Source organism: Homo sapiens, chromosome 7 (genome assembly GCF_000001405.40).
Source record: "Homo sapiens chromosome 7, GRCh38.p14 Primary Assembly".
Classification (NCBI taxonomy): Eukaryota; Metazoa; Chordata; class Mammalia; order Primates; family Hominidae; genus Homo; species Homo sapiens.
The window spans coordinates 130,724,765-130,752,573 of NC_000007.14; the positions used below are offsets into that span (position 1 = coordinate 130,724,765).

Here is a 27,809-nt window from a genome sequence, read left to right on the forward strand (position 1 = left end):
TCCGAAGGCTGAGGCAGGAGAATCGCTTGAAGCCAAGAGTTCGAGACCAGCCTAGGCAACAAAGCAAGACCCCGCCCTCATTTCTACCAAAAAAAGTAATAAAAGAAAGAATAAAAGCATTATATATAAGGCTAGAGAGCCCCTAACCAACACTTTCAATCCTTGTCTTCTCTTTAATTGCCTATTACTATACTTTGACAACTTTTTTGGTTCTTGTCTCTTGAATTTTTGATCCTTTATATATTCCAGACATTGATCTTATGCCTGATATTTTTCTCAGAATGTAGCTTGATATTTAATTGTGTTTAGGCTTTTAAAAGTAAAACATTTAAAAGTTTTGATGCAGTCAAATCTTTTTCCTTCAATTTTTATTTTTAAATTTTTTGTGTCCTAAACAAGATGATCTTCCTTATTTAATGATGATAGAGGGATTTTCCAGCATTTTTTACCAATTTTTTTATAGCTTAAACATGTTTAGGTCTTTACCATCTGTAATTTATTATTATGAAAGGTTTGAGAAAGTAATGCTGTGTATTGTTTTGTTTTCTTCATGAAGAGGCAATTGTCTCAATAGCATGTATCAAGTAGCCTATCTTTTCCCTGATTACATGAATGCCAACTCTCTTGTCCACTGGACTGTATTTACAGGTTTATTTCTGAACTCTTTATCCAATTCCACTTATCTCCTGTCTATTCCTACATTATACCACACTGCCTTAATTACTGTAACTTTGTCATATTTTGATATCTGGTAAAGCAATTTTCCCTTCCTTTCCCTTATGTTCTTCTGTAATATTTCCTTTAAAAAGCTCGATGAAAAATCATTGTGGGGTTTTGAATGGAACTGCATTACCTATACAGATTAATTTGAGGACAGAACTGACATTTTTATAGTATTGAATTTTACCATCCACAGACATTATTTTTATCCACTTAGTCCTCTTTTCTTTTCTTTCCTTTTCTTTTTTTCTTTCTTTCTCTTTCTCTCTCTCTCCCCCCCTCCCTCCCTTCCTCCCTCTTTCTCTCTCTCTCTCTTTTTTTGACGGAGTTTCGCTCTTGTTGCCCAGGCTGGAGTGCAATGGCGTGATCTCAGCTCACCACAACCTTCGCCTCCTGGGTTCAAGCGATTCTCCTGCCTCAGCCTCCTGAGTAGCTGGGATTACAGGCGTGCACCACCACACCTGGCTAATTTTGTATTTTCAGTAGAGATGGGGTTTCTCCAATTTGGTCAGGCTGGTCTCAAAAGTCCTATTTTCTTTTATGTCATTCAGTAAAAGTTTTATAGTCTTCTTCATAGATGTTCTTTATATTATTTGTTGCTACCAAATATGGAATCACTTAGTCTATTACATTTTCTGATTGATGATTACTGGCACATAAAAAAGTAATTGATTTTCTTCTTTATTAAATTAATGTAGTGAATTATGTTTATAGATATTGTTGAATTAATCTTGCATTCCTCAGATAAACTTCACACGATTATCTTGCATTATTCTTGTCATGCATTGCTGAATTTTACTTAGGATTTGTGGACCTGTCTTTATAGATAAAATTGGCGTATTTTTTTTTCTTGTCTTTTAACTTGCCTTGTTTTGGTATCAAGGTTAGCTTGACAACATAAAAGAAATTAGTTAATTTTCTATCCTTTTCTATGCTTTAGAGTGCTTTATAAAAATAGAAATTATCTTTTTCTTGAAGGCTTAGAAAATTTGCCAATGCAACTGCTGAGACCTAGTGCCTTTTGGGAGATACAAGTTTGACTACCACTTCAATTTCAGATTTTCTACATCTTCTTAAACTATTTTGAAATTTTATATTTTTCTTATAAAATTATCCATATAGTTTTCAATTCTTGATATAAAGTTGTTTGTATTATTCTAATTTAAAAAATCTGTGTTATGATTTTATGTCCTGTTTTATTCCTGATAACTTTTTGTGCCTTCTATTTTATTTTATTTTATTTTTGAGACAGGGCCTCACTCTGTTGCCCAGGCTGAAGTGCAGTGACACAATCACAGTGCAGCCTCGGCCTCCCCGGCTCAAGCAATTCTTCAGCTTCAGCCTCCTGAGTAGCTGGGACTACATGTGCATACCACGCACTCAGCTAATTTTTTTTTTTTTTTTTTTTTCTTTGGTAGAGACAGGGCTTTGCCATGCTTCTTGAACTCCTGGGCTCAAATGACCCTCCCACCTTGGCCTCCAAAGTTTTGGAATTACAGGCGTGAGCCACTGCACCCGACCCTGACTTCTCTTTTTAAGAAATTTATATTTGCCAAAGAAACCTACTGTTATTCACCTTTTAAAAGAGTTTTGCTCAAAGCTACCTATTTTTTCTTGTTTCATTAATTTCTGCTTTATTAATGATAATATTTTTCATTCTTTTTTTATTATCACCCCTCCAGAATTGGTTTCAGATTTTTTTTTCCTAATCACTCCCCGTTCCCCACATCCCTATGAAATCTTAAACCACACATATAGTGTATATCTATTTATGTAGTATGCTGTTTTGGAGGCCACAACCATTGTAATATTTAAATGTTTTCCTTTTCTTCTGGAGTTGAAAGCTTAGTTCATTCACCTTCATTCAACCTTTCTCTTTTTTGAATAAAATATTTAAGGCTATAAATTACATTTCCTCCCCTAGTGTTTTTTGCTTGCTATATAGTGCTTTTTGTTTTCATTCAGCTCCAAATTTCTGCAATTTCCCCTTCTGTCTGACTTACGTAGAGGCTTCCTTTTACGGATTTCTCAATTTATGGATTTTTAATGATATTTTTGTTGTATTTTTATGTGATTACCTGCCTGAAGTTTGTCTAGACTTTCTTTGTATCTTACCATGTGGCCGATAGGAATGCTTGCAATCTTTCAACATTTAAGTTTGATTTTTATAGTAGGCTTTTGGCAGATACCTTTTATCAACTTAAGAAATTATCTTTTGTTACTAGTTTACTAAGGTATTTTTAAATTAAATCACAAATCATTGTTGATTTTTAACAATGAAACTATTGAGACGGTTATGCCTTTTTGCTTCCTAATTTCTATTAATTTGATCAATAACTTTGATATATTTCATGTGTCTCATCTTCCCACACTTTCTAAAGACTTACTTCTTTCTGTACGTTCTCCAAGCAACCATCTATATTCCCACTGACAATGGTAATATCACTGAAACTAAGCTAAAAATACTTGGAAGTATTGTTTACATTTTCTGTAATCATCTACTATACCTATCTCAGTGATAGGGATGATTTCCCAGTGCTTTCTCTGCAAATTTAAACAGGTATCTCTCAATATTTTCTTGGGCCTGAGATCCTGAGTGAAGACAGACATTCATGTAAAGCTTGCGTCCATTCTTTTGTTAGATCTCTTAGGGTTCTAATCACCTCCTCTAACCTACTAATAATTAAAATGCCACTCTCCTTTATAATTCCATGTTTAAGATTGTTGGCTACTGGTCTTTCTTATTTTTCTTTTCACATCATCAATACTGTCCTCTGAAAACACAACCTTTCTTCTAAATAAATCCTTCTCTTCTTTCAGCTTAATCAAACCATCATCCTTTCTTCAGTTTTCACCCTTGTACTGCTTCTATTTTGATTTCAAGATTTAAATATATATATTTGAAACAAATATGGCTCCCATTTTATTTCCTGAATAGACCCTGATTCCTAGGGAGAGAAGGATTCAGGCAAAAGCCTTTTTAATACTTTTCCTGCCTTTGGGATTATGGTATACAATGCTTTTCTCTTCCTCAAACCCCTATATAACAAAAACTTCCATTCCTCTTTATGTATTTGTGATAAAATCCACCATTTCTCTGTGGTTGAACACACAAGAAATTCAGCTGAGGCCTTGAAATTCCACTGTCAGGGCTTATATAGTAAACACATCTGGCACCAACTTGGAATATAAATAGAAGGTGATTCTGGATATCCCATATGAATTAAAGGATTTGGAGCCTCCCATTGGCCTCTCCTTAGCCCTATTAAAGGGTGCATTTCAAATCCAGATAATGGGGAAACTGATCTGATACCACCTGATACTTCCCAGAATAATTTAAGAGCTAGAATGTCCCTAACCTGTGCTCTTACATATACATGGAACTTATGCCACTGACCTTAGAATCCTCAACTGCAATTCTGGCTGAGCATAAAGGCAGCACAAATTGATCTATTGAATAGCGCCTTCCCTTTCTGCAGTGATCCTGTCTCAGTTACATCTATGTGAATCAAAATCAGCCACAGTGTTCTGTACAGCTCACTTTTGCCAAAGTCTATGCTCAGTGACTCTAATAAATTAGTGGCTTGTGTGAGGACACTTGCGATCATAGGCTGCTAAGATTTGAAATGACTAAAGAACTGAAAGGCTGAAGATCATTAAAGCATTAAAGCCCTGTACTCTGGCATTACAGACATCCAATCTCCACACATCTTATTTTGATTCCCTAATTCCAGGTGAAGTGCCTATTTCTCAAGATTTAACAGGCAAGGCACATCTCAATGTGGTGGGGCTTAAGGGAGAAAATTAATTCTACCTCTTTCCCCTCTATGTTATCAGCCAAATGAATAATAAATACAAGAATCAGACTAATGAGGGTCAAAATATCAGTACAGTCATCCCTCAGTATACACTGGGGATTGGTTCCAGGATCCCTGTGTATACCAAAATCCACGCATACCCAGGCCCAACTGGCCCTGTGAAACCCATGTATATGAAGAGTTTCATACTCTATTCGCATGTGACTTTTTGTATATGTGTAGAGAACAGCATATGAGCAGGCTCTGCATCCCACAAATACTCTATTTTTGAACTGTGTTTGGTTGAAAAAAATCTGCACATAAGTGGACTTGTGCAGTTCAAACTCATGTTGCTCAAGGGTCAACTGTTACTTTGCTGATTAAGCTGTATCATGGTCAAAACTGAGCTTTCTAATACACTGTCTCCCCTACTCCTCCTAATTCCTGGTCTTGGATCTGGACTACCCAAAGAAAAACATACAGTGGAAATACTTACCTGGATAGCAGCAAGGAACAGAGCTGCCCCAAAAGTAGAAAGAGAGAGAGGTGTTCTTCAAACCTGCCTCTAGAAGGCAGGTCTGGGGCTCAGCAGGTGTGTTTACCCTATGGAAGCAGGATCTGAGTGAAGTGCATGCACACTGCAGGCAGGGAGGTGCAAAAGAGAGAACTTAAGAGTGTGCGTGTACAATGACCCCCCCCCCCCATGTCTCCATCAGAGAATACAATCATTTCTCCTTTGGGGAGAAGTGTGTAGAGGTAGAGATGGGGGTCAAAAATGATATTCCAGAATGGTTCCCTGCTTGGAGAAGAACAGGGAAATAGGGACAAATGACATATTCTTGCCTCCATGGGTGGGGACAAAGCCTGTATTCTTCACATCCTCCCAGCAGAAGCAGGGGATTCAACTCCCTCACAACCAAGGTCTGATCTAGAACTCATTCCCAGCCTCCAACCCATATTTCAGGAAGAGGTGTATGAATAGTTTCTGCTACTAGGTCATTCCTACATCCGAACTGTGGATGGCAGGGATGGGGCAATGGCTCAGAGGTTCAGTCTGACCCCAACCAACCCCCATATGTACTCACTCATTGAGTGAGTACATCTGATTAACAAAAAGAAACCAAAGAAACACCAATAAAATTAGGAAGCCTTTTTCATGGCATTTCACTAACTACTCCTTGAGAACTCTCTGGTTGCTGGAGTGAAAAAGGTAACAACAATACTCAGACTAAGAAAGACCTACCTAAAAACCTTTATCTGGCTACTCCCATGTATGTGCTGAGTATCTCCTTCCCCACCACCTCAAGACCTGGGAGGAGTCAGTTTTACCAATGAAAGACATGTCACATTGAGATTGTCAGAGGCCATCTCCAGATAAAAGTCCCTAGTGTACAAGAACCCAAATAAGGACACTATTTGGGAGCTTGAGAATCAAAAGTTATTTATCAACAGGTGATTGGAAAAGCCAAGCTTTCTTGAAACCAATTTCAGAATGGTTAGTGGAAATTCCTGTTGGCTTCCTTGGTCCACTTACCCAATGGCAGATCTTCAACTGAAAAGGACAAAGAGGAAACAGTAGTCTTCAATAGGACCCCCAATGCCCTAGCTATCCAGCCCTAGCTGAAGAGACAAACAGAGCAAAGAGAAGACTCCTTCCACTACCAAAAATCACTTTCACAGTGGGGGGCCTTCTCCTCCCACATGTAACTCAACAGCCCCACCTTCCCTGCTTAGCCTTCATTAGGAAATACTGAACCTCTTCAGGGTCATAGGCCATACTCTTTTGGTCCTTTCTAAGGACCCCTCCCTCACTTAGTGTAGGAGCACTTAGTACAGTCCCAATGTCATGTTTGTATCATTCACTCTCTTGAGGATGCTGGAATGCCCAGGACCAGAAAAAGAAGGGAATTCACACTGAAAATTAACCTAGCAGGTCCAAAGAGAAAGTCTCTCCTAGGATGCCAAAAAGTCATTCTCACTTTATGTCCACATGGTGTGAAGGGAGGGAACGTAACCAGTTAAGAAAAGGGCTTTTGGGTCAAACACAATAGGCAAAGGGTTCAATCAACATGTGAAGGTACACAGAAGCAATACAGAATAGGGAGCGAGGGAGGGACTAAGATCCCAGAGAGGAGGAAGAGATGGGGGTAATCAAGTGTGAGGGAAAGAGTCACTTAGCAGGCCAGACACCTAAGTTCTAGTCATGGCTCTTCCCAGCAACCTAGCATATGACTTTGAGCTTATCTAGTCTTCAGTATCCTCATCTGCAAAATAGGGGAAAGCAATTTGTTTAACCAGATGCCCGTTAGGGTCCTATGAGATTACAGCATCTTCCCCAAGTGTCAGTGATGGACTATTGCAAAATATTCAGGAGGGGGCCAGAGGGGATCTCCCAGGGCAGGAAATGCCTTTCAGCCTCATCTCTAAAGAAAGGGTCACATATATACACATTCATACATACACAAGCAGAGTGGTCAGTGATTTCATCCACAGCAGCAGAGACACATATAGAAAAAACAAATACTGTTGATGTCTGATTCCTTCTTATCGGGAAAGGGGCCCTGAGGATATAACTTGGAGGGACTATATGGTCAGAGGAGAAAGTTCCTCCTATTTCATAATAGCTATCACCTTGCTACTCCTTCCTCAAATCCAAGGCAGCCAGCTCCTTGGAAGAAACCAGTCTGTTACCCTTCCCTCTCCCACCCACCAACTCACCTGTTTCAGAAACGAAAATCTGCAGACTCTGAGGGAAATAACCCCCTAGTTAGCCATTAGGAAATTAACAGAATCTACCACTCCTGAGATTACATAAGGTGGGGCAGCTGTGTCCACACGCCTCTATTTCCCTGAAAGTTATCAATGGTTATGAGCGGTCTTGTTTCGGGCCCCGCCCAAACTTAAGGTCGCTTGAGTTTTCTCTCTGAGTGAAGGGGGAACTAGTCTGGACCACCCTTTTCTTGCTGGTGCCTTTACGGTAGTTTTCAAATTGTTTAACCAATCTCAGCGTGAGAGTGAGCCAGGAAGTTACCATCCTCAAGTAGGAATCCAAATGGGGAGAAGGGCTACGACGCAAGCGCAGGGTTCCAAATCATGCAACAGGACCTGCAAACAGACTCACACCCCAGACATCAAGAAGTATCTCCCAGCCACACATCTACATGGAGCTTATGTGGCCTCTCCTAGCAGAGGTAGCTGGGGCAATTGGGGGATTGGAGGGCATAAGCCTCCCATCAACCTGGGATCCCTATTTAAAAGATGCTAAAAATAAATTAGTAAACATTGCTGTTTACAGAAATAGAAATCATTTCTGTTTCCAAAGGCCTCTCACCATCCCAGTCCTGGACATTTCCAAGACTGCCACCCCTGACACCCTCTCCAAGGTCCGCCCTGGTGGATGGGTGAGACACCAGAGTCCTTTGAGACTGGGAGCTCCTCAGGCATCTGAGAATTCCAGTTTCACATCCCTGGTTCCAGGGAGGGGAGAATCTTCAGTACTCTGGAGAGTACGGGAGTTCATCCCTTCTTATCAGTTCCTGGGGGCTGTCTTGAGGCAACCCCCACTTTTAGGATGATATACACGTTGCAAGAATTCCCGCTATTTTCCGGCCCCCAGTACCTCCCCAGAGTCCACATGTCTGCCTGGACCCACCCTCAGAGCAGAGGAACCAGTCTGTGCCTTGGTGTAATGACTCTGGGAAAGAAGGATGGGCAGAGAGAAAGCAGGGACAACGGCCTGGGGGATCATCCTTGAGGGTAAGACTGACAGCAATGACTGTCCTACAGGCAGGTGGTGAAGCTGGGCGCCGGGCCGGGACCGGAGCCGGAGGCGGAGCTTTCCACCTCGCTGGTGAGTGGCGGGTCGATGCGGGGAGTTCGACGACGTCCCCGGTACTCGATCATATCTGGATGATAGGTTGGGTGGCGGCGAGCATGCTTGGTCAGGTGGTCGCTCCGGGAGAACTGCTTGGGGCAGAGGGGGCAGGAGAAGCGCTTCTCGCCCGTGTGCGTCCTGTAGTGGCGGGCCAGCTCGTCGGAACGCGTAAACTTCTTGTCGCAGTCGAGCCAGTCGCAGGAGAAAGGGCGCTCACCCGTGTGGGTGCGCTGGTGGGACTTGAGGTGCGACGACTTGTAATAGGCTTTGGTGCAGCCCGGGAAGGGGCATTGGTGGCGCTTGGCAGCAGGTGTGACAGACCTCCTCCGGGGCGCCTGATCCGCGGCGGGGGCGGGGCCTGCCCCTAGGGCCCCTCCAGAGAACCCACCAGAGGCTGCTGGTGCGCCCGGGGCAGCAGGCGCGCTTGGGACGGCGGGCGCATCGGAGGAGCTCTCGGGAGCGCAGACCGCCGCGGCGCCGGAGGCGGGAGCCAGCTCGGAGCACGGGGTCTGGACGGAGCACGGGATCGGGTCGGAGAAGCCGGACGAGGCGCGTGGAGCTTCCCCCGAGTTCTCCCAGGAGCCCTCGCCAGAGCTGCCGCGCAAGTCCGCCCAGACGCTTGCAGCCAGCAGGTGGGGCGCGGCGCCGCCCGCGCCGGGGCTGGGGGCGGGGACCTGCGGGAGCTGGGGGACCGACGCGGGCCCCGGTGGCCCCGGACCCGGCAGAGCGGACTCCGGCGGCGCCGCACCCACCTCCGAGCCAGCGGCTCCACCCGCGCCCTCGGGGTCCGGCGGGCGGCGGTGAACCACGGCGCCCGCGGACATGGACACCAGGCACTCGGCGGCGAAGTAGTCCAGGCACGCCACGGCGGCCGACATGCTGGGACCGCCCGGCCGCCGGCGAGCGCCGTCCGAACGCGGCCGGCCGCGGGCGACGGAGTTCCCGGGAGCGTCCGTCCCGCAGCCTCGGAGCGAGAAGCAGGAGGCCGGGTGCTCGCCGCCTGCCGCCTGCTGCCGCCGCCGCCGCCGCAGCCGCCGCTGCCGCCGCCGCCCGCGCGGAGCCCGCCCCGCCTGACGCGCCCCTGACGCACCGGAGCCCGCGGGGGCGGCAGAGACCCGCCCCGGCCCGCAGGACACCCCCTCGGAACGCGCGGCCCCCGGCTAAGTCATGTTTAACAGCCTCAGAAATTATCTTGTCTCCGCGTTCTTTCTTCTGCCGGCGAGCCAGGTAATGGTAACAGAGCGAAACTCCCCAGTCGGAACTTCTGGGTTGCAGCAGCCTCGCCCCCCCTCCCCGCAGCCCGCCGCCCGCTGGTCCGTCGCCAGCTGGGTGTCCCGCGGAGTCCCAGAAAGTTTTTTTTTTTTTTAAGGAAAAAAATTGCTAATACCTGACATGTCTTTCGGTTCATAATTGCGATTGTTAGCGAAGTGGTCTCGAATTCCATTTCACTCCCCGTTCGCCGCTCTCAGACTAAATTGCAAATATCCCCAAGTCTGTAGCAAAAAAAGTTTTCTCATTGAGCAGGTCAACTGTGAACCCGGGGCCGGGAGCAGTTCCCTAAATAGATCCGCTACGTAGCCATTAATTAATAGCATCTCGAACCAGAAACAGTTTTAACCTTGGAAAAGCAAAGAATCCTCTCCCGGTTGAAATTGAAACTTAAAATCCTTTGAGTAACGATTTAACTATTCAGCCAACGAAAGAAAAATGCATGTTTAAACTGCATTAACCTGTCACTGGCATCCAAACAAATTTAAACGCTGAGATATAAATTATAGTCTAGCGGCGAGATAAACACATTAAAATGGACTCCCACCATTTTAATAATAGAAAGTCACGTTTCCAATTAGGCATTATCTTGTAATTTGCTTTTGACGAAAGTTAAATGTAAGGAAATGCAGCACATGATATAGAATGCTCATATGGTGTTTTGTGATTGTGGAGGTTTGCCTTTTTTATAATCAAATGCATGTACGGTTTCTTTTACGTGTCTTCATTGCTCTCATTTTTTCCCTCGTTTTTCTTTTTAAAAATGTAAAACTACATAGAAAAACAAACAGGATAATTTCTAAAAATAGTCATATCTTAGTTTTTGATGTATACAAGCTTTTATATGAGTGAATTGTGTGCATTTTATTTGTAGTTCTTCAGTACTTTTTCTTTTGAAAATTAATACGTATGTATCAAGAATAACATACGTTCATGTATTTACTGCCTAGGGTAATCAAATGTGAAATTTTTGTTATAGTTGTTTCATGTTTTTATTTATATTAAACATTACAGATAGAGTTGAATGTCACTTTGTTTCCCTCCCCAGTTCCATTCACCTTTCTCCCTCTTCACTTTTCTAGGTAATTAGTATTATAAAGTGGCTATTTAATCTGCATTTGTTTTGATACCCGTATTACCTAATTATACATGTAAATATATGTATATCTCCATGCTTATTTATTAAAATTTTTAAGTAAATGGTTCACTAGTATACATATCATTTTGCAACTTCTTTCCCTCAATATGATTTTGACAGCTATCCAGGTTGACACCTATAGAATCTACTTTATTCATTTCAGCAGTTTTTAAATAATATTGTCAGTGTTATTATTTTTAAGGCGATTCCATTGCAAAACAGTTAATTTTTCTGAAGTTCCTCTAGACGATTAACTCTTCGTTAATCTACACATTAAAATCTATCAGATAGAATAATTTACTAGCTGTTTTAATTTTATTATTTAGAAAAAATGTGAAGATATTTAAAATGCAGAGAGAACATTACAAGCACCCATATACCTGTCTCATATAATGAATATGTTAACATTTTGTTATATCTCCCTCAGATCTATTAAGTATTCAACATTTCTGATAAAATTGAAGGTCCCCTTGTACTGCCCCCAATACCATTCTCCACCCTTTTCCCCAAAGGCAAACACTAACATGAATTTGGTATGTAACTTTCCAGTCTGGGTTTTACAATTTAACTGGATGTGAACCTATAAAATGCAGAATATTGGTTTATATGATTTTTTTAAATGTACAAACATGGTATTAGGCTGTGCATATTATTCTTGGACTTATTTTTTTCATTCATGGTATGTTTTTATTTTTTCTCTTCGTGTTGATAAATATAGATCCAATTCATTCATTTTAATTGCTATAGTGTGGATCCATGCATACAAATGTGTCCTGTTTATTCATTCCCCTATTGATGAATATTAAACTGCTGCCAATATTTTGGTACTACTTGTACATGTTTCCTTTGCACATATGTGAGAATTTCTCTATGTATCTACCTAGATGGGGAATTGCCGGGCTCCACACACATTTTCAGTTTTGCGAGAGACTGCCAAATGCTTCAATTTGCACACCCATCAGAAGTGTGTGACAGTTCACGTTTCCCTCACATGATCTTCAACACTTTCTAGATTAAGATTTTTATTATTCCTGCCAATTTGATTATTTTAAAAAACAGTATCTTGTTGTCTTATTTGAATTTCCCTCACTGCTAGCAAAGTTAAGCATTTTTTCCCCATATGTTTGTTGGTTATTGAGGTTTCCAAGTCTGTGATTTGTTTTTTCACAGTCTTCATTCATTTTTTTCAGTAGATCGTGTATGTTTTATCTTTTTTCCTCCTGATTTGTAGGAATTCATGCGTGTAAACATTAAATATATTGTCTCAGTCTGTGGCTTGTCTTTTAACTGCTTTTGATGTCTTTTGTACTATAGACAATTTAAAATGTACTCATATTCATTGATCTCTTTCTTTATAGTGTCATTTGTGGATTATTAAAGAAACCTCTCCATACCTGATGCATAAAGGTAGCCTCTTATGTCTTCTTCCTTAATGTTTTAAAGTTTTGCTTTCCACACGAGATTGATCTATCTGGGACTTATTTTTTTTGAATGGTGTAAAGTAGGAATTCAATAATTTTACTCCTCCCTTTCCCCCAACCCCCATATGGAAGGCGTGTGGTAACCCGATTTACTGAACAGTCCTTCGTGTCCCTATTAATATGTAATGCCACCATGATTGTAAATTAAATTTCTATGTATTCATGGATGTGTTTCTAGTTTGTCCTTTTCCACTAATCAAACCAAATTTGAGCCAATACCACAGTCTTAATTACCATGGCTTTGTAAATCTTGATGTGCAGAAGGACATATCCTCTCTTTGTTCATTTAAAAAATTGTTAGGTAATGTACACATCATTTTGCAACTTGCTTTTCTCCCTCCATGTGATTTTGAGAGCTACTCATGTTGATACCTGTAGAATCTGCTTTATTAATTTCATGAATGTATAGGCTATTTTTGGACTTCTATTCTTCTATACTAACTTTAGCATTAGTTTGTCAAGTTGCATTGAAAAACTCTTTTGGTATTTTGCTTAGTTAAATTTATAGGTTAAAATTGGGGAGCTATGACAACTTCATAAAATTGAGCCAACTAGTACATTAATATTCTGATTTTTAAATGTCTTTCAATAACATTTTATAATTTGTTTATAAAAGTATTGTACCTCTTTGTTAGACTTACTCCTATTGTACCTTACAGCTTTTGCTGCTATTATAAGTGAGATCTCTTTTCTATTAAATGTTTAAATTGGTCATTGCTGCTACTGTCATTGGTAGAGATCCTGTAGATTTTGGAATAACCTGAAAACTGTGTTAGATAATGCTGGCAAACATGCTGAACTTATTAGTTAAATAGTTTATTTGTAGATTCTCTTGTGTTTTCATGTAAATGATAATATTATCTATAAATAACACCCCTAATACATTTTCCCCTTTCTTATCTCTTTGCATGGGCTGGGACCTTCAATATAACATCAGATAGTTAAGGGTGAGTGCAAGCATTGTTTTCCTATTTTTATCTGATTGAAAATGTTTCTCATGTGTCATAATTATGATATTTGTTGTAAGTCTTTGGTGGAAACCCTTTATCAGTTTCCTTTTATCCCATTTATGCTTAAAGTAGGAATATTGTTAAACCATGAAATGAATATTGAAATGTTATTAAATGCTTTTTCTAAAAACATTGAGATGATTACAGGTTTTATCTTTGCTGTGTTAAAGTGACAGGTCACATTGATAGATATTTCTAATGTGAACCTACCCTTGCATTCCTGAGTTAAACCCTGCTTTGCCTTGATGTACTGTTAGTTATTAATACAGTGCTTCATGTATTTTATTTTAGCATCGATGTTCATAAGTGACATTGGTTTAAAACTTTCCTTTCTTGCACTTTGTGCAAGAAGGAAAATGCATTTGGAAATTTCCTTCTTTTTCTATATTCTGTGACGGTTTGGATGAGATAGGTATGATTTGTTCCTTGACTATTTGGTAAGTCTCGTCTGTGAAACTATCATATTTTGAAAATTCAATTTAATTTCTTTAATGATTGTTGGTTTCTTTGGGGTTTCTATTTCTTCAGTCAATTTTGATCATTCACTTTTTTCTGCCTAAAAAATTAGATACTACATTTAAACCTTTAAAATGTTGGTATATGGTTCATGGTATTCTCTTTAAACATTCTTTACGGTGTCTGTAGTTATACCCTATTTTTCATTATTTGTATCATATATTTGTGAATTCTCTATTTTTTCTTTTTTGTCTTAACAAAGATTTGTCTGTATATTTAGACAAACTTACAGAGGTTTGTCTGTAGTCTTTACAAATAGGCAGCTTTTGTTGATCATATATCTGTTTCTTTTAAAATGTATATATTTGTTTAATTTCTATATTTATTTTTATTAATCCCTCACTTACATTTTCATTGAGTTTAATGTATTATTCCTTAGCACCTTAAGTGCTTTTCAAGTTAAATACCTATCAATTCATTAGCAGTGTTTCTTATTTTCTAATATATAATTAAGGGCTATAAATTTCCCTTAAAGAGAAATTTCCCTTGCTTTATCTGTATCCCGCAAGTTTTTAAAATAGTGCTTTTATTGCCATTCAGTGCTAAATACTTTATAATTCCACTGTGATTTCTTAAATATGAAATTTTTGGAAGGGTGCTGTCCCCGGATTTCCCTGGCATTGTATCACTTGAACTATTCTATAACCAGTGCTCCTTGTGTAACCTCTCAGGAACTGGGTCTGGAAGTATAATTGGGGATTATTTGAAAAGGAAACTAGAATAAGGGTAATTTTTTAATGCAGCGTATACTGTGGCCTTGAAGTAAATGTTACCAAAATGTTATCTCTCCCAAGCCCATTCAGAAGCTTGCAGGAACAACATCAAAGAGATGTTCCTGAAGGCCTTGAACAGCTGACTGGTCCATTCTTTTGGTCACAAGTAGTTCAGGGCATGTACATAGTAGGTGTTACATAAATATGGTAGAATAAATGAATAGGAATATACAAGCTGACAGATTAGTATTACTATTCATTTATGATTATTAATCCCAAACAGACATTAAACATTCCTAGAAATACTGCACACCAGTTTGCATCTGTTGCCAGTCTCCTTCCTGCCTTTTGGCAAAAGCTAGTCTGTTCTAGTTCTAGCTCCATTATCTCTTGCTTTCTCAAGATTCACAATCTATAACATACCTTCTCTCTCTCCAACATCATCTGTTTTTTCTTCTGTACAGAATAATTTGAATCAACATTCAATAATGGATTAATACCTTCAGTTAAAAAATATCCCTCTCTCTCTCTCGACTCTCCTTTGTCTTCTAGCTACTGCCACATAGTTAGGTTGCCCATGAAAGCCAAATTTCTGAAGTGCCGAGTATATTCTGTCACCAATTCCTTACCCCCATGGATTATTAAGTTTGCTTCAATATCGAGCCCTCACTTTGCTACAGAAATTCTTGTCAGGATCAACATTGATGCACCACACAATGTAAATGTCCTTAACACTACTGAACTGTACATTTAAAAATAGTTGAAGTGAGAAATTTTATATTATACATACTTTAATTTTCAAAGCTTTCTTTTCTCAAAAGGAGAAAAAAATTAACATCGACCCCCTTGTTGCTAAATTCAATCCTCAAATAACTAGAACTCTCAGAGCAGTTGAGCAATCCTTGAAATATTCTCATCTTTTGGCTTCTGTGATATTACATTCTTTTGGGCTTTCTTCATCTTTCTAACTGTTCCTTAACAGTTTAAGTCTTAATTACTCATTCCACCTCTTTACCTAATCTCTAAAATTTAAAATTCTGCAGAACTCTATCCTAGGTCTCCTTCTCTCAATTCTACCCACTCTCTCTAGGTAATTTTAAACATTTTCCATGGTTTAAGTACACCTGTATCCCAAGAACTTATAAATTTTATACTCTTTAGCCCAGATCTCTTTTCCAGAGATGTCAGAGAGTCTTAACTACTTGACAGCTCCCCAGCCTTCCTGGAATGTCTCATTGATATTTCAAACAATAGATTAAAAAGTCAAATTCTACCCCAAATCTACTCTTACTGTATTCTTCCCTGTCTCAGTACACAGCACTTTCATCCATTCCTGCTCCTTAAAGCAGGAAACTGGGGTCATTCTTGACACTTCCCTCTCCATCCGCCCCAACATTTAATTAACCTTCAAGTTTGGTTGTTCTGCTTTCAAAATATGTCTTGACCATCTCTTTTCTCATTTTTCCTGCCAGTACCGTAATCCAAATCAACGTCAGCTTTTGATCAAACTATCATAATACTGGGTTCCCTTAACTAGTTCCTCTACTTCACTCTTGCTCCATTCCAGTGTCTTCCCCGTATAGTTGCTACATGGTGAAGTCATCAAAACCTTCCTGTCACAGTTAAGACAAATTCAGAACAGCAGACAATGATCTGGCTCCTATTTACCTTTCTACCTGACCTCTTACTCACTCACTGTATTCCAGCTTACATTGGCCTTTGAAAACGCTAATTCCTCGAATGCTCAAACTGTAAAATCTTCGCATATGCTGCTCCTTAAACCTAAACTGCTCTTGCCTTCACTTTTTGCCTGAATAATTCCTATGTATCATTCATCCATTTTCTCTTCCTCTGAGAATCCTGACACCCACAATCTAAACTGTATCCTTTCTTTTACACAGGCATTCATTGATTTAACAAATATTTAGTGGATATTCTACTAAATATTACTAAATATTTACTGTTCTTCACCTCTCATAGTTTTAGGCACTGGTGATAGAGCAGTGAACAAAGCAGTTTCTGCCCTCATGGAGCTTACATCCTAATGAGAGAGCCTGATAACAAGCAAGTAAGTAAATTCATAGTATTTCAGATATTCAGTGACAGATGCTGTGGAGAACAGTAAAACAGGGGCAGTGAGATAGCATGTTCTGAAAGGGGATATTTTGTGTACAGGGGTTAGGCAAGACCGTTCTGATGAGGTGAACTGAAGGGAGTAGTCTTACAGAAATCTAAGAGAAAAATAGGAAGTGTGAAAGTTTTGAAGCAGAAGCATGTGGGGTGCTGGGCAGCTTAGAGGCTTGCACTGGTTTTCTACAGCTGCTGTAACAAATTACCATAAACTTAGTGGCCTAAAACACAAAAATTCCATTTCTCACAGTTCTTTAGTTCAGAAGTATCCAAAATCAGTCTCACTGACTAAAATCAAGAGATCACCAGGACTGCATTCTTTGCAGATCCTGGGTGAGAATTCGTTTCCTTGCCCTTTTCTAGCTTCTAGAAGCAGCTGTCTGCCTTCCTCCCTCTGTAAAGGCAGCAATGATGGGTGGAGTTGTTCTCTGATTTGCATAAATCCGATCTACTCTTCACCTTCTTATTTCTGCTTATAAGAACCCTTCTGATTGCATTGGTCCCACTTGAATCCAGTATAATCTCCCCATCTCAAGATCAGCTAATTAGTAACTTCTATTCCATCTGAGTTCTGGGTATTAGGATCTGGACATCTGTGGGGAACTATTATTCTGCCTAGCACAGGGTTGAAGCAGACTAAAGGAAGGGAAGAATGAGTTCAGGGACTGGGCTGAGTGGGAGGCAGGTCATGTAGGGCCTTGTAAACAATGTGGACAGGGAGATAGGAAGTCTTAAGGAGGATTGATTCACCTTGGTTGCTGTGTGGCTAGTAGACTCAATGGCAAACAAGAGTGGAAGCAGGAGAGCAGTTAATATGCCACTGCAGAATTCCAAGACAAAGATGATGGTGGTTTAGACCAGTGAAGGTGGTGAGGTGCGGTCAGATCCGGGATGTTGTTTGGAGCTAGAGTGAGGGATATCTGCTAAGGTGTTGGACGTAGGGTATAAGAGAATGTGAGGATTCACGAATGACTGCAAGGATTTCAGCCCAGTAACTGGAAGAGTATACTTTCTATTTTGAGATGGGGATGGCTTTAGAAGAAGCAGGATATAGGAGGTGGAAATTGGGAGTTTGCTTTTGGACACTTGGAGATAGGGAAGCTGAGTTGGCTCTTGGATCTGAGTCAGATGCTTTTTTTTTTTTTTTTTTTTTTTTGAGACAGAGTCTCACCATGTTGCCCAGGCTGGTCTTCAGCTCCTGGGCTCAAGCAATCCTCCTGCCTCAGCCTCCTGAGTAGCCAGGATAGTCTGATGTTTTTATAGTTCAATGAAGTCCAGCTACATCCCTGACTGGGCAACAGGATAAAAGGGATTTTTTAAAGCTATGTGTTTTTATACGTATGTTTCTGGAGAACAGGAATTCTAACTCTTAGTAGAGTTTTTCAAAATGCCATGTATAATTATTTGTTTAATAGTTTTTTATTATAATGATCACAAGATGTTATCTAAATATACTTAAAACCGATTGTTTTGTGTCAAACTATAAAAACAAAGATTTATATTTTAGGAAATCTAATCATTTAATATCTAATTTTTTTAAGTTCAATTTCCATTCTTGATAAAACCTCTATGTTCTTAGCTGTCAGGCTTCTGTTAGATCCGCTGAACTTCTTTCCTGTGACATTCACGCTCATGTTAATTTACAAGTCTAAATGAACTATATGTGACCTTATGAAAAACAGATGAGCTTTTCTTTGGTGAATTTCAAACACTTTTTCAGTGCCTGTAGTGTTGTGGGCACATAGAAGGTAAAGGCACATAGCAAATAATTGGAAAATATTTTTATATAATGAGACTGAGAGCAAAGGTCCAACTGAGATGTTTATATGAGACAGAAAAAAAAGTGGGTGGTGTTAAGATTCTGCAGTATGATAGCTCAATAGTTCAGCAGTATGTGTGGTGACTTTGGAGTCTAACAAGCCAGATTCAAATCTCAGCATGAGACATAGGACCCTCTCCTTTCCCATGAAGGGAATAGAAATTGGCGCAACAGTTTCATGATAACCTGTCAAGATGATGGTGTTCATACATACCCTGTAACTTAGAACTTTTATACCTTAGTTATATGCCATAGAGAAATTTTTGTACTTGACCCTAGGAGACTTCTACAAATACGTTCAGAGCACCATTTGCTGCAAATTTTTGAAGTAACTTATTCATTAAAATGTAAGGCAATACTACACAGTAGTAAAAATAAGCAGTGAGGCGACATATCAAAGGCCTGTCTCTTAAAAAAATAAAAATAAATATCATAGCCAGGTGTGGCAGCCTGAGCCTGTAATTCCAATTACTTGGGATACTTGAGCCCAAGAGTTCGAGGTTACAGTGAGCTATGGTGGTGCCACTGCACTCCAGCCTGGCGACACGGCAAGACCTCATCTCTAAATAAATAGATAGATAGATGTATAGATTAGATTAGATTAGATAGATAGACCAAAACTAGTTAGATCATGGATAATGCTTTCTGCTTAGTAAATAGAATGAAAAAAATCTAAGATTTTAGAAGACTGTGTCAAATATGATATCTTTTACACAACGTAAATACATGATCATAATTACTATATCAACACGTTATAATTGTTAATAGTACAGACTCTGCAGCCAGACTGCCACATTCGGCTTCCATCACTCACCAACTACATGACCTTGATTGAGTTACTTTGCTTCATTCATAAAAGGGAATGAGAATAGCACCTACTTTATTTGGGTTGTACTAATTAGTTAATACATGTAATATGATTAGACCACACGTAGGCGTGTAGTAAGCACTGTATTCATTATTATGTATTGTTATCCACATATTATTCATATATGTCCATAATACACCCATACATTAAAAGTAGAATACATTAGCAGGTGTGATAAATACCAAATTTAGAGCAGTAAGTGTCTCTGGTACGGGAGGAAAGGGAATGGAGTTTCAACAGATTCTTTTGTTATTTGTTTATTTTTTAAAAAATCTGAAGCAAATTAGGTAAATGAGATTTGTCAATATGAGCCTAGGTACAGTGCTGTTTGCCATATTATTCTCTGTACTTTTCTGTGTGTGTGAAATTTTTTTTTTTAAATCGCAGAACAGAGCCAGAATATTAGACACACAAAACATACCTGCCAAATAAGTGAGTGGACTGGGGATGCAGCCCTTGGAATGTCTGGCTGGACTCCCCCTTTATTCTGCCTTCCAGAATAAAGGCGAGCAGGGGGCATCTTGGCCATTAGGAGGGACACTCCTCTCCAGCCATGTGGATGCAGTGGAGCCAGGCTTTCAAGGTTCTGAGGGAAAATTATTTTGAACTTAGAATTCTATACCCAGGTGAACCCATCATTCAGTGTGAGAGCAAAATGAAAACACTTTCAGAAGTTTTCAGGTTCAGGAAATATACCACTCAAGCACCCTCTCCGGAACAATAACTAAACATCATATTCTGGAAAGAAAAAATGAATCAAAGAGGAAGGCACAAGGGACAGGGAACCTAGTGACAAAACACAGCATAATTTAAAATAATCATTGATTGGGGGTAGAGGGGAGAGAGAGAGGGAGGGAGGGAAAGAGAGAAATAACAACCATCTGACATTCTGGAATTAAAATCCCTAATGGTCTTTACATGGGAGGTAGCAAGAGGGCAAAGGAAAAAACTAGAGGCGTGAAAAGGTTCCTGACTTGTTCAGAGAGAAGCTAGTCATGTTGAGTAATTGAAGATGTTGATTTTATCAAATAATTTTAAATATGTGCTACAAAATGAAAGAGTAACCACTGGAAAAATTGAAATAAGATACCTAATTTCCTAGCCATTAAAAGAAAACATTAAATAAGGAAAATGTCATCAGTTCAAGAAAAGCAAGAGGAGAAAAGGAGAAACAATAACAAATTATGGTAAATAGAAAACACAAAATAAGATGCAGGAGTTAGTCCAAAGTGTCAGTAATCACAAAGTGAATTAACCAACCAAATGAAAAGATACAGCCCCTCAGACTGAGTTTAAAAAATAGAGAAGGGAGGGTAGAAAATTCAAAACCCTAAAAAGCTATATGCTGTTTATCTAAAACAAATGACCCAGGAATTTAAAATTGAACAACAAAAGCAGATGTATTATGAAAATGTTAACAAAGCAAACCAAATTAACATTTCAAGTAGAAAAAAAATAAGGATAAAGAAGATTCTAATAACATTATGAGAAACTTTATATACTCAGTTTAAATGTACGTGGAATATTTACAAAGAAAATTTCAATAGATTCTATAAAGTAGAAATTATACAACCTACACAGTGACCACATGCATAAAATTATTATTTAACAACAAGAAGACAGTAAAAAACAACAAACAGAAAAAGCACTATCCTCTTGAAAATGAGAAGGCACACTTCTAATTAACTTGGATTACAAAAGAATTAAAATTGAAATTACAAACTACTTAGAAATGAACAAATGAGCACACTACATTCCAAGATTTGTGCGTACTGCCAAAGTGGTACAAATGGAAAGATTTGCAGCCTTGAGTGCTTGTAGAAAACAGAAATTGTGAAAATAAACAAGCTAAGCTTATGACTCAAGAGTTAAAGAACAGGAAAAATAAGCCCAAAGAAATAAAAGTAGAAATAAATTGGCCGGGCATGGTGGCTCATGCCTGTAATCCCAGCACTTTGGGAGGCTGAGGGAGGAGGATCACCTGAGGTCAGGAGTTTGAGACCAGCTTGGCCAACATGGTGAAACCCTGTCTCTACTAAAAATACAAAAATTAGCGAGGTGTGGTGGCAGGCGCCTGTAATCCCTGCTAGGGAGGCTGAGGCAGGAGAATCGCTTAAACCTGGGAGGCAGAGATTGCAGTGAGCCAAGACCATGTCATTGCACTCCAGCCTGGGCAACAAGTGCGAAATTCCATCTCAAAAAAACAAAATAAGAATAGTAGAAATAAATGAAATTTTAAAAACCCCAAGTGGGCTTCATTAATAAAACCATTTTCTATTTATTTGGCAAGACCAATAAAATAGATGAATGCTTGGTGAATCAGATTAAGAAAAAAAAGAAGATATGCTTAATATAAGGATCAAGAAATGTGGAAAAAGCCAAATATTACTATGTACAACTTTAAATAAATATAATTAAAATCAAGATAAAATGTTTGATCCATAAATGCACAAATTACCAAAGTTGGTTCAGTAAGGAGCAAAGCTCCATGGACCATTACATAAAAATAAATGGAAAAATAATTAAAGGTATACTTAAAACAAAACAAAACACCAGATCCAAGTAGTTTCGCCAACTGGAGCTACCAAAGCTAAAAACAGGTATTTCCCATGTTATATAGTGGTCATAGTCCATAAAACAGATTGAACAATTTTTCAATTCGTAAGAGGTTTTTTTTTAATACCCTAGTTCTGAAATCAGATAAAGATAGGATCCAAAAAAAAGAGACTAATTCTCACAAACATAGTACAAAATTTCTAAATCTAGAAGTGTATTTTAAAAATAGTGCATCATGCCCAAGTTGAGTTTTTTCCAGGAGAAGAAGGGTATTTGGATGGTGAAAGTGTATTAATAGAATTCATTGTATTCTCTGAAGAGAAAATATATAATAGGCACCCCAAAAAGCAGTTGATAAGATCTAGCACACATTCCTCGTTTTAAAAAATGATCTTAGTAAAGAAGTCATAGAAGAAAGCATCTTATATTTGAAAAGGGGTTTCCAGTGGAAATCTACAACAAACATAATGCTTAACCATGAAATACTTGAAACATTCCCATTAAAATTAGGAACAATACAAGGGTAGCCTTTACTAGTACCACTTAGCATTAAAGTAGACATCCCATTCAGTACAACAATGGGGAAAAAGCCAAGAAAGAAGGTGAATACATATTGGAAAGTAATATACAAAACTGTAACTTTTTGCAGATGCACATTTCCATGTACCTAGAAAAATCCAAGGAAAATGTCAGAAAAACTTGAGAGCTAGTAAGATTTTGGTAGGGTGACTCTATAAAGATCTTGGTGAAGAAAAGTATACAGCTGAATTAAAGTTCTCATATAAAGATCTGAATACATGGAGAAACACACTGTTTCTTAACAGAAAAACTCAATGCTATAAAAGACAATTATTACAAAACATTTATAAATTTAAGACTGTTTCATTCAACATAGCAGCAGGTTTCTGTATAAAATTTGGCAAAATAATTCATCCGGATGAGAAAAAAATAGGAGGAGTAACATTTTTCTAGCAGGTATTAAAGCATATCATAAAGCTTTAGTAATTGATTCAGTGTGGTATTGTCATAGAAATAGACCAGTAAATTGATGGAAGAAAGAGGTGATTTAGAAACAGCCATTTATATGTGAGAGTTCAGTATATGATAAAGGTGACATTTCAAAAGAGTGGGGGAAATGATAGACAATTTATTAAAGAGTGTTCAACAGTTACTTAATCATTTTGGGGAAAATAAAAATCACTCCCACAGCCGGGCATGGTGGCTTACGCCTGTAATCCCAGGACTTTGAGAGGCCGAGGCGGGTGGATCACGAGGTCAGGAGATTGAAACCATCCTAGCTAACACAGTGAAACCCCGTCTCTACTAAAAATACAAAAAAATTAGCCGGGCGTGGTGGCGGGTGCCTGTAGTCCCAGCTACTCAGGAGGCTGAGGCAGGAGAATGGTGTGAACCCGGGAGGTGGAGCTTGCAGTGAGCCAAGATTGTGCCACTGCACTCCAGCCTGGGCGGCAGAGCAAGACTCCGTCTCAAAACAAAAATTAAAAAAAAAAAAAAAAAAAAACCACTCTCAAGTATAAAAAATAAACTCTAGGTGGATTAGGGAGGTAAGCATAAAAATCAAATTTAAAGCACTGGAATAATCTCAATAGATGTAGAGTAAATATTTAACAAAATTAAAGATTCCTTCATGATTAAAAAACTCTTAGAAAATTAGGAGTAGAAAGGAATGTCCTTAATTTTATAAATGACATCTACAGAAAAACCTACATTGTACTTAACAGTGAAAAATGGGATGATTTTCACCTAAGATTGGAAATAAGCTAAGGATGTTCACTCTCTCACTTCAATTCTCAGATATTATTGTCTATTAAGAAAATCCCAAGGCATCTATCCAAAAGTTCATAGAACTAAGAAGTCATTTTAGTAAGTTTTCAAAATACAAGGTCTGTATACTAACAATGAATACATAAAAATCAAAATTAAAAAACAGCATTATTTCCCACACACACCAGTTCCATTTAGCACCAAAAAGATAAATATTTAATATATAGTTAACAAAATTTTCGTTATCTGTGTACTTAAAACTACAAAAGACCAATGAAAGACAGCATATACCTAAATAAATGGCAAGTCTTCCATGGATTGGAAGACTCAGTACTGTGTAGATGTCATTTCTCCCCAAATTGACATATAGATTCGAATGGCCGTAATCAAAATCCAAGTAGGAGTGTGACTTTTGTAGATATTATATTTTAAATTGACATGGAAAGACAAACTAAAATAATCAAAACAATTTTGGAAAAAAACTTTTGAAAATAGGTTGTTAGGAAATGCATACTATTTGATTTTAAGAGCTATTATAAAACTACAGTGATTAGGACAGTGTGGTACTGGTGGGAAAATGGACACAAATATTAACGGAGCAGAGGGAGGATTTCAGAAATAGATCAAACTAGCCAACTGATTTTTGACAAAGGTGCAAACACAGTTCAACGGAGAAAGAATAGTCTTTTCAGCAGATTGTTCTTGAACAGTTGGATATTTGTTCATAAAACCTGAATTTCAATTCATACCTTCCATCTTCTACAAAATTATAATCAAAATGGATTTTAGACCTAAATATAAAAATCCAAAACTATAAAACTTCCATGGAAAAAAAAAGAAGAAAGATTTGTGTTCTAGAGTTAGGCCAAGATTTCTTAGATTTTGATATCAAAAGCATAAGCTATAACAGAAAAAAAGAAATTGGACTTCATCAAAATTAAAAGTTTCTCTGCAAGACACCTAAGATAGTTAGAAGACAAGCAACAGACTGGAAGAAATATTTGCAAATTATGTACCTGAAAAAGAATTTGTATTGAAAAAATATAAAGAACTTTCAAAGTTCAACATTAAACAATAAATAACTCAATTTTTAAAATGGACAAAAGATTTGAACACTTTACTCAAGAAGATGTGGGGCTGGCAAATAAGTATACAAAAAGATGCTCACTATTAACAGTTAGGGAAATGCAGATTGAAACCACAGTGAGGCACCGCTATACACCTTTTAGGTTTTTTGTTTTGTTTTGTTTTTTTGAGACAGTGTCGCTCCGTCGCCTAGGCTGGAGTGCAGTGGCATGATTTCAGCTCACTGTAGCCTCCGCCTCCTGGGTTCAAGCAATTCTTCTGCCTCAGCTTCCCGAGTAGCTGGGACTACAGTCATGCACCACCACACCCGGCTAATTTTTGTATTTTTAGTAGAGACGGGGGTCTCACCATATTGGCCAGGCTGGTCTCGAACTCCTGACCTTGTGATCTGCCCGCCTCAGCCTCCCAAAGTGCTGGGATTACCAGCGTGAGCCACCGCACCCGGCCCTTTTAGAATTTTTTAAATGTTCTTTTTAAACCAGACAATACAGAGCATCTGGAACTCTCAAACTCTGGAGCCCTAAAGCCCAGTGTGCTAGACGGGAGAGATGCCTCCAAGGTCTTATCTCTAGCCACTGGCTTCCGCCATTTGTATGTGGTGTTCTATTTCTAATGTGTAGGCCAGCTTATAAAGTTAAACACACATTTACCACATGATCCAGTAATCCCTCTCCTAGGTAGTTAGCCAAGAGAGCTGAAAACTTATATTCACCCAGAAACCTTTATGTGACTGTTCATGATGGTTTTATTCATAATTGCCCAAAATCAAAAACCAGAAACAACCCAGATGTTGTTCTGCTGGTGAACGGACCAACGCACTGGCACTTCATGCAATGGAATGATAATCAGCAATGAAAAGGGGCAGACTGTGAGACACACAGCAGTGTGGATGGACTTCATCTGCATTATGCCAGGAGAAAAAGTCAGATAAAGGCTACCTACTTTATGGTTCCATTTGTATGAGGAATCCCTTAAAAACAGATCCGTCGTTGCCACAGGCTGGCTGTGGGAGGAAGGGCAGGAATGATTTTGGAGGGTTACAGAACTGTTCAGTATCTTGTTTGAGGGGGTGCTTACATGACTGTATAAATTTGTTAAAAACTCATAGAGTGGTACACAAAGAGAGAATTTTGCTGTTTATGAATTTCAAAATGTGAATTTAAAAATTACTGTGAAAAAATGTAGACTATCTTGGTAATTGCACAGTAGGATAGGAAGGTGTGAAAACTCAGACGCTGTGAAGGAAAAGACTTACAGATCTGATGACTACAAAATATTAAACTTTTATAGGACAAAAGTCACCCTAAACAAAAAATTAGGCCATCGGCTTGTGAATATATATATTCAGCAAATATTACAGACAAAGGACTAACATCCATAATGCAAAGGGTGCCTACAAATTAACATGTAAAAAGGTAAATACTATAAAAGACAAGTGGGCAAAGTACATGAGGTACAGGGTAAGTATAGGGAGTTCACAGAAACCAAAGAGTCAGTAGCTCGGAAGAGATTCACAACCTCACTTTCCATCAGTGAGCTGTGAATGAAAGCAATGATACAATATCATTTTCAACCATCAGATAGGCAAAGCTTTTAAAGATTGTTAAAACCCAACACCAGGAAGGGTGTGAGGCAACAGTCCCGTAGAGTTTTTGGGAGTGTATACATCTGTACAACTTTTTGAAAGATAATTTGGTAGTAGCTATCAAAAACCCAAACGTGCATACTTTTTGACTCAGCAATTTCACTTCTAGGTATTAATACTATAAAATACTCACATAGGTGCACAAATATATATATAAAAGATTTTTTATTAGAACATCATAGTAGTCAAAAATAGGGACCAAATTAAACATCTATCAGCAGAGGAATGGTTACATAAATGAAGTGAGTCCGTAGGGTGGGCTGCTGTGACAGGATGGATGACACATATGTGAGTACTGATAGAGTACTGTGTAAATTTATTTATAATGAAATGCATTATTAAGTGAAAAAAGCAAATAAGAAAACATGCATATTGTCCTATTTAAAAAAAATTACAAATCTACATGCACACACACATACACACACATAGAAGGTCTGGGTAGATACACATCAAAGCTCAGGCAGTGGTTCTTAAAGTAGGGGATCATGAAGGAAAGGTACACATTTAACTCAACAAAATTTGGTCTTACTGGAACTTTAAAAATGCAAATGTGTTTATGTTTTGTTTTATTTTGCTTAACAAATATCTTGGTATTTTACTAAGCTTTTAAGTTAGTGAAATAAAGAGGCATAATTCAAACATATTTATACACTTTAAATTAACTAAGCCCAAGTAGAAAACAAAAAGGTATATAATTCCCAAATCATGAATGAGAAGAAAGAATAAATTTGATTACTACAGTAAAAAAAGAAATAAGAAACAGGAAGTATTACAAATAGAAACCATAAAATAAAGTGACAGAACAAACACCAAGTATAACTTTTGTCATGACAGATGTGGCTTAAAAATATCTTTCAAAACACAAAAGACTCAGATTGAGTAAAAAAAATACAATTTAGTCGTAAGCTGTTTACAAAAGGAGAAACTGCAAAATGAAATTGACAGAGAAGGTAGAAAAGTAATGAGATGGGCAAGAATATCAGAGGCAAATGCAACCCAAAGAACCCATCCATGCATGCTAATATTAAAATCACATGAAATAGAATTCAGGATGAGAATATCAAATGGAACAAATATAATTATTTTTATATGAATAAGTGATATAATGTACTATGAAGGCAATACAGTCAATATAAATGCTTCCAAATAGGGAACTGGTGAATTATATTATGATACCTATTTATTTACAGTGAACCTCTACACAGCCAGGAAATTGCTAATGTAGAAAACATATAATGACCTGCAAATGTTACAAACTATAAAGCAAAAACAAGGTTGTATACTGTAAGTATGACATGATCTCAATTTCGTTTTAACATTTTATTAAAAAGAAAAACGACTGGAAGGCTCACAGTATCAGGGTGCCATGCGGAGGGAGGACAGACATAGCGAAGCAGTCCTG

General features: G+C 38.5%; 1 protein-coding gene and 1 long non-coding RNA gene across 6 annotated transcripts in view, besides 4 other annotated features; one reads left to right on the forward strand and one right to left on the reverse strand.

Annotated features, from left to right (window-relative positions):
• On the reverse strand, window positions 5,933–9,443 carry KLF14 (KLF transcription factor 14). Its single transcript, NM_138693.4, has one exon. The coding sequence runs from the start codon at window positions 9,267–9,269 to the stop codon at window positions 8,298–8,300; it is 972 nt and encodes a 323-aa protein (NP_619638.2). The 5' UTR covers window positions 9,270–9,443; the 3' UTR covers window positions 5,933–8,297.
• Window positions 8,514–9,051: an enhancer, noted in NCBI's record as "H3K4me1 hESC enhancer chr7:130418105-130418642 (GRCh37/hg19 assembly coordinates)". NCBI's record gives its function as "activates a minimal SCP1, AML or CMV promoter by ChIP-STARR-seq in naive H9 embryonic stem cells {active_cell/tissue: H9 hESC(naive)}" and the evidence as "EXISTENCE:reporter gene assay evidence [ECO:0000049][PMID:30033119]".
• Window positions 8,514–9,106: a biological region, named in NCBI's record as "H3K4me1 hESC enhancer GRCh37_chr7:130418105-130418642".
• Window positions 8,947–9,106: a silencer, noted in NCBI's record as "silent region_18649". NCBI's record gives its function as "represses an Ori minimal core promoter by ATAC-STARR-seq in GM12878 lymphoblastoid cells {active_cell/tissue: GM12878}" and the evidence as "EXISTENCE:reporter gene assay evidence [ECO:0000049][PMID:35858748]".
• Window positions 9,177–9,256: a silencer, noted in NCBI's record as "silent region_18650". NCBI's record gives its function as "represses an Ori minimal core promoter by ATAC-STARR-seq in GM12878 lymphoblastoid cells {active_cell/tissue: GM12878}" and the evidence as "EXISTENCE:reporter gene assay evidence [ECO:0000049][PMID:35858748]".
• Window positions 9,500–27,809, forward strand: part of LOC105375508 (uncharacterized) — a 119,688-nt gene continuing 101,378 nt past the window's right edge. For 4 of the 5 annotated variants that reach the window (XR_927978.3, XR_927976.3, XR_927977.3 and 1 more), the window contains exons 1-3: window positions 9,500–9,618; window positions 12,157–12,205; window positions 13,217–13,226. This is a non-coding gene — a long non-coding RNA (uncharacterized LOC105375508). Of the gene's footprint in view, window positions 9,619–12,156; window positions 12,206–13,216; window positions 13,227–16,498; window positions 21,257–27,809 lie in introns of those variants that run through there. The other variant, XR_001744984.2, reaches the window with a different exon arrangement.

What these genes read in the sequence shown, in the direction of transcription:
- KLF14 (NM_138693.4), bottom strand. Translation starts at nt 9,269, where the DNA reads ATGTCGGCCGCCGTGGCGTGCCTGGACTACTTCGCCGCCGAGTGCCTG.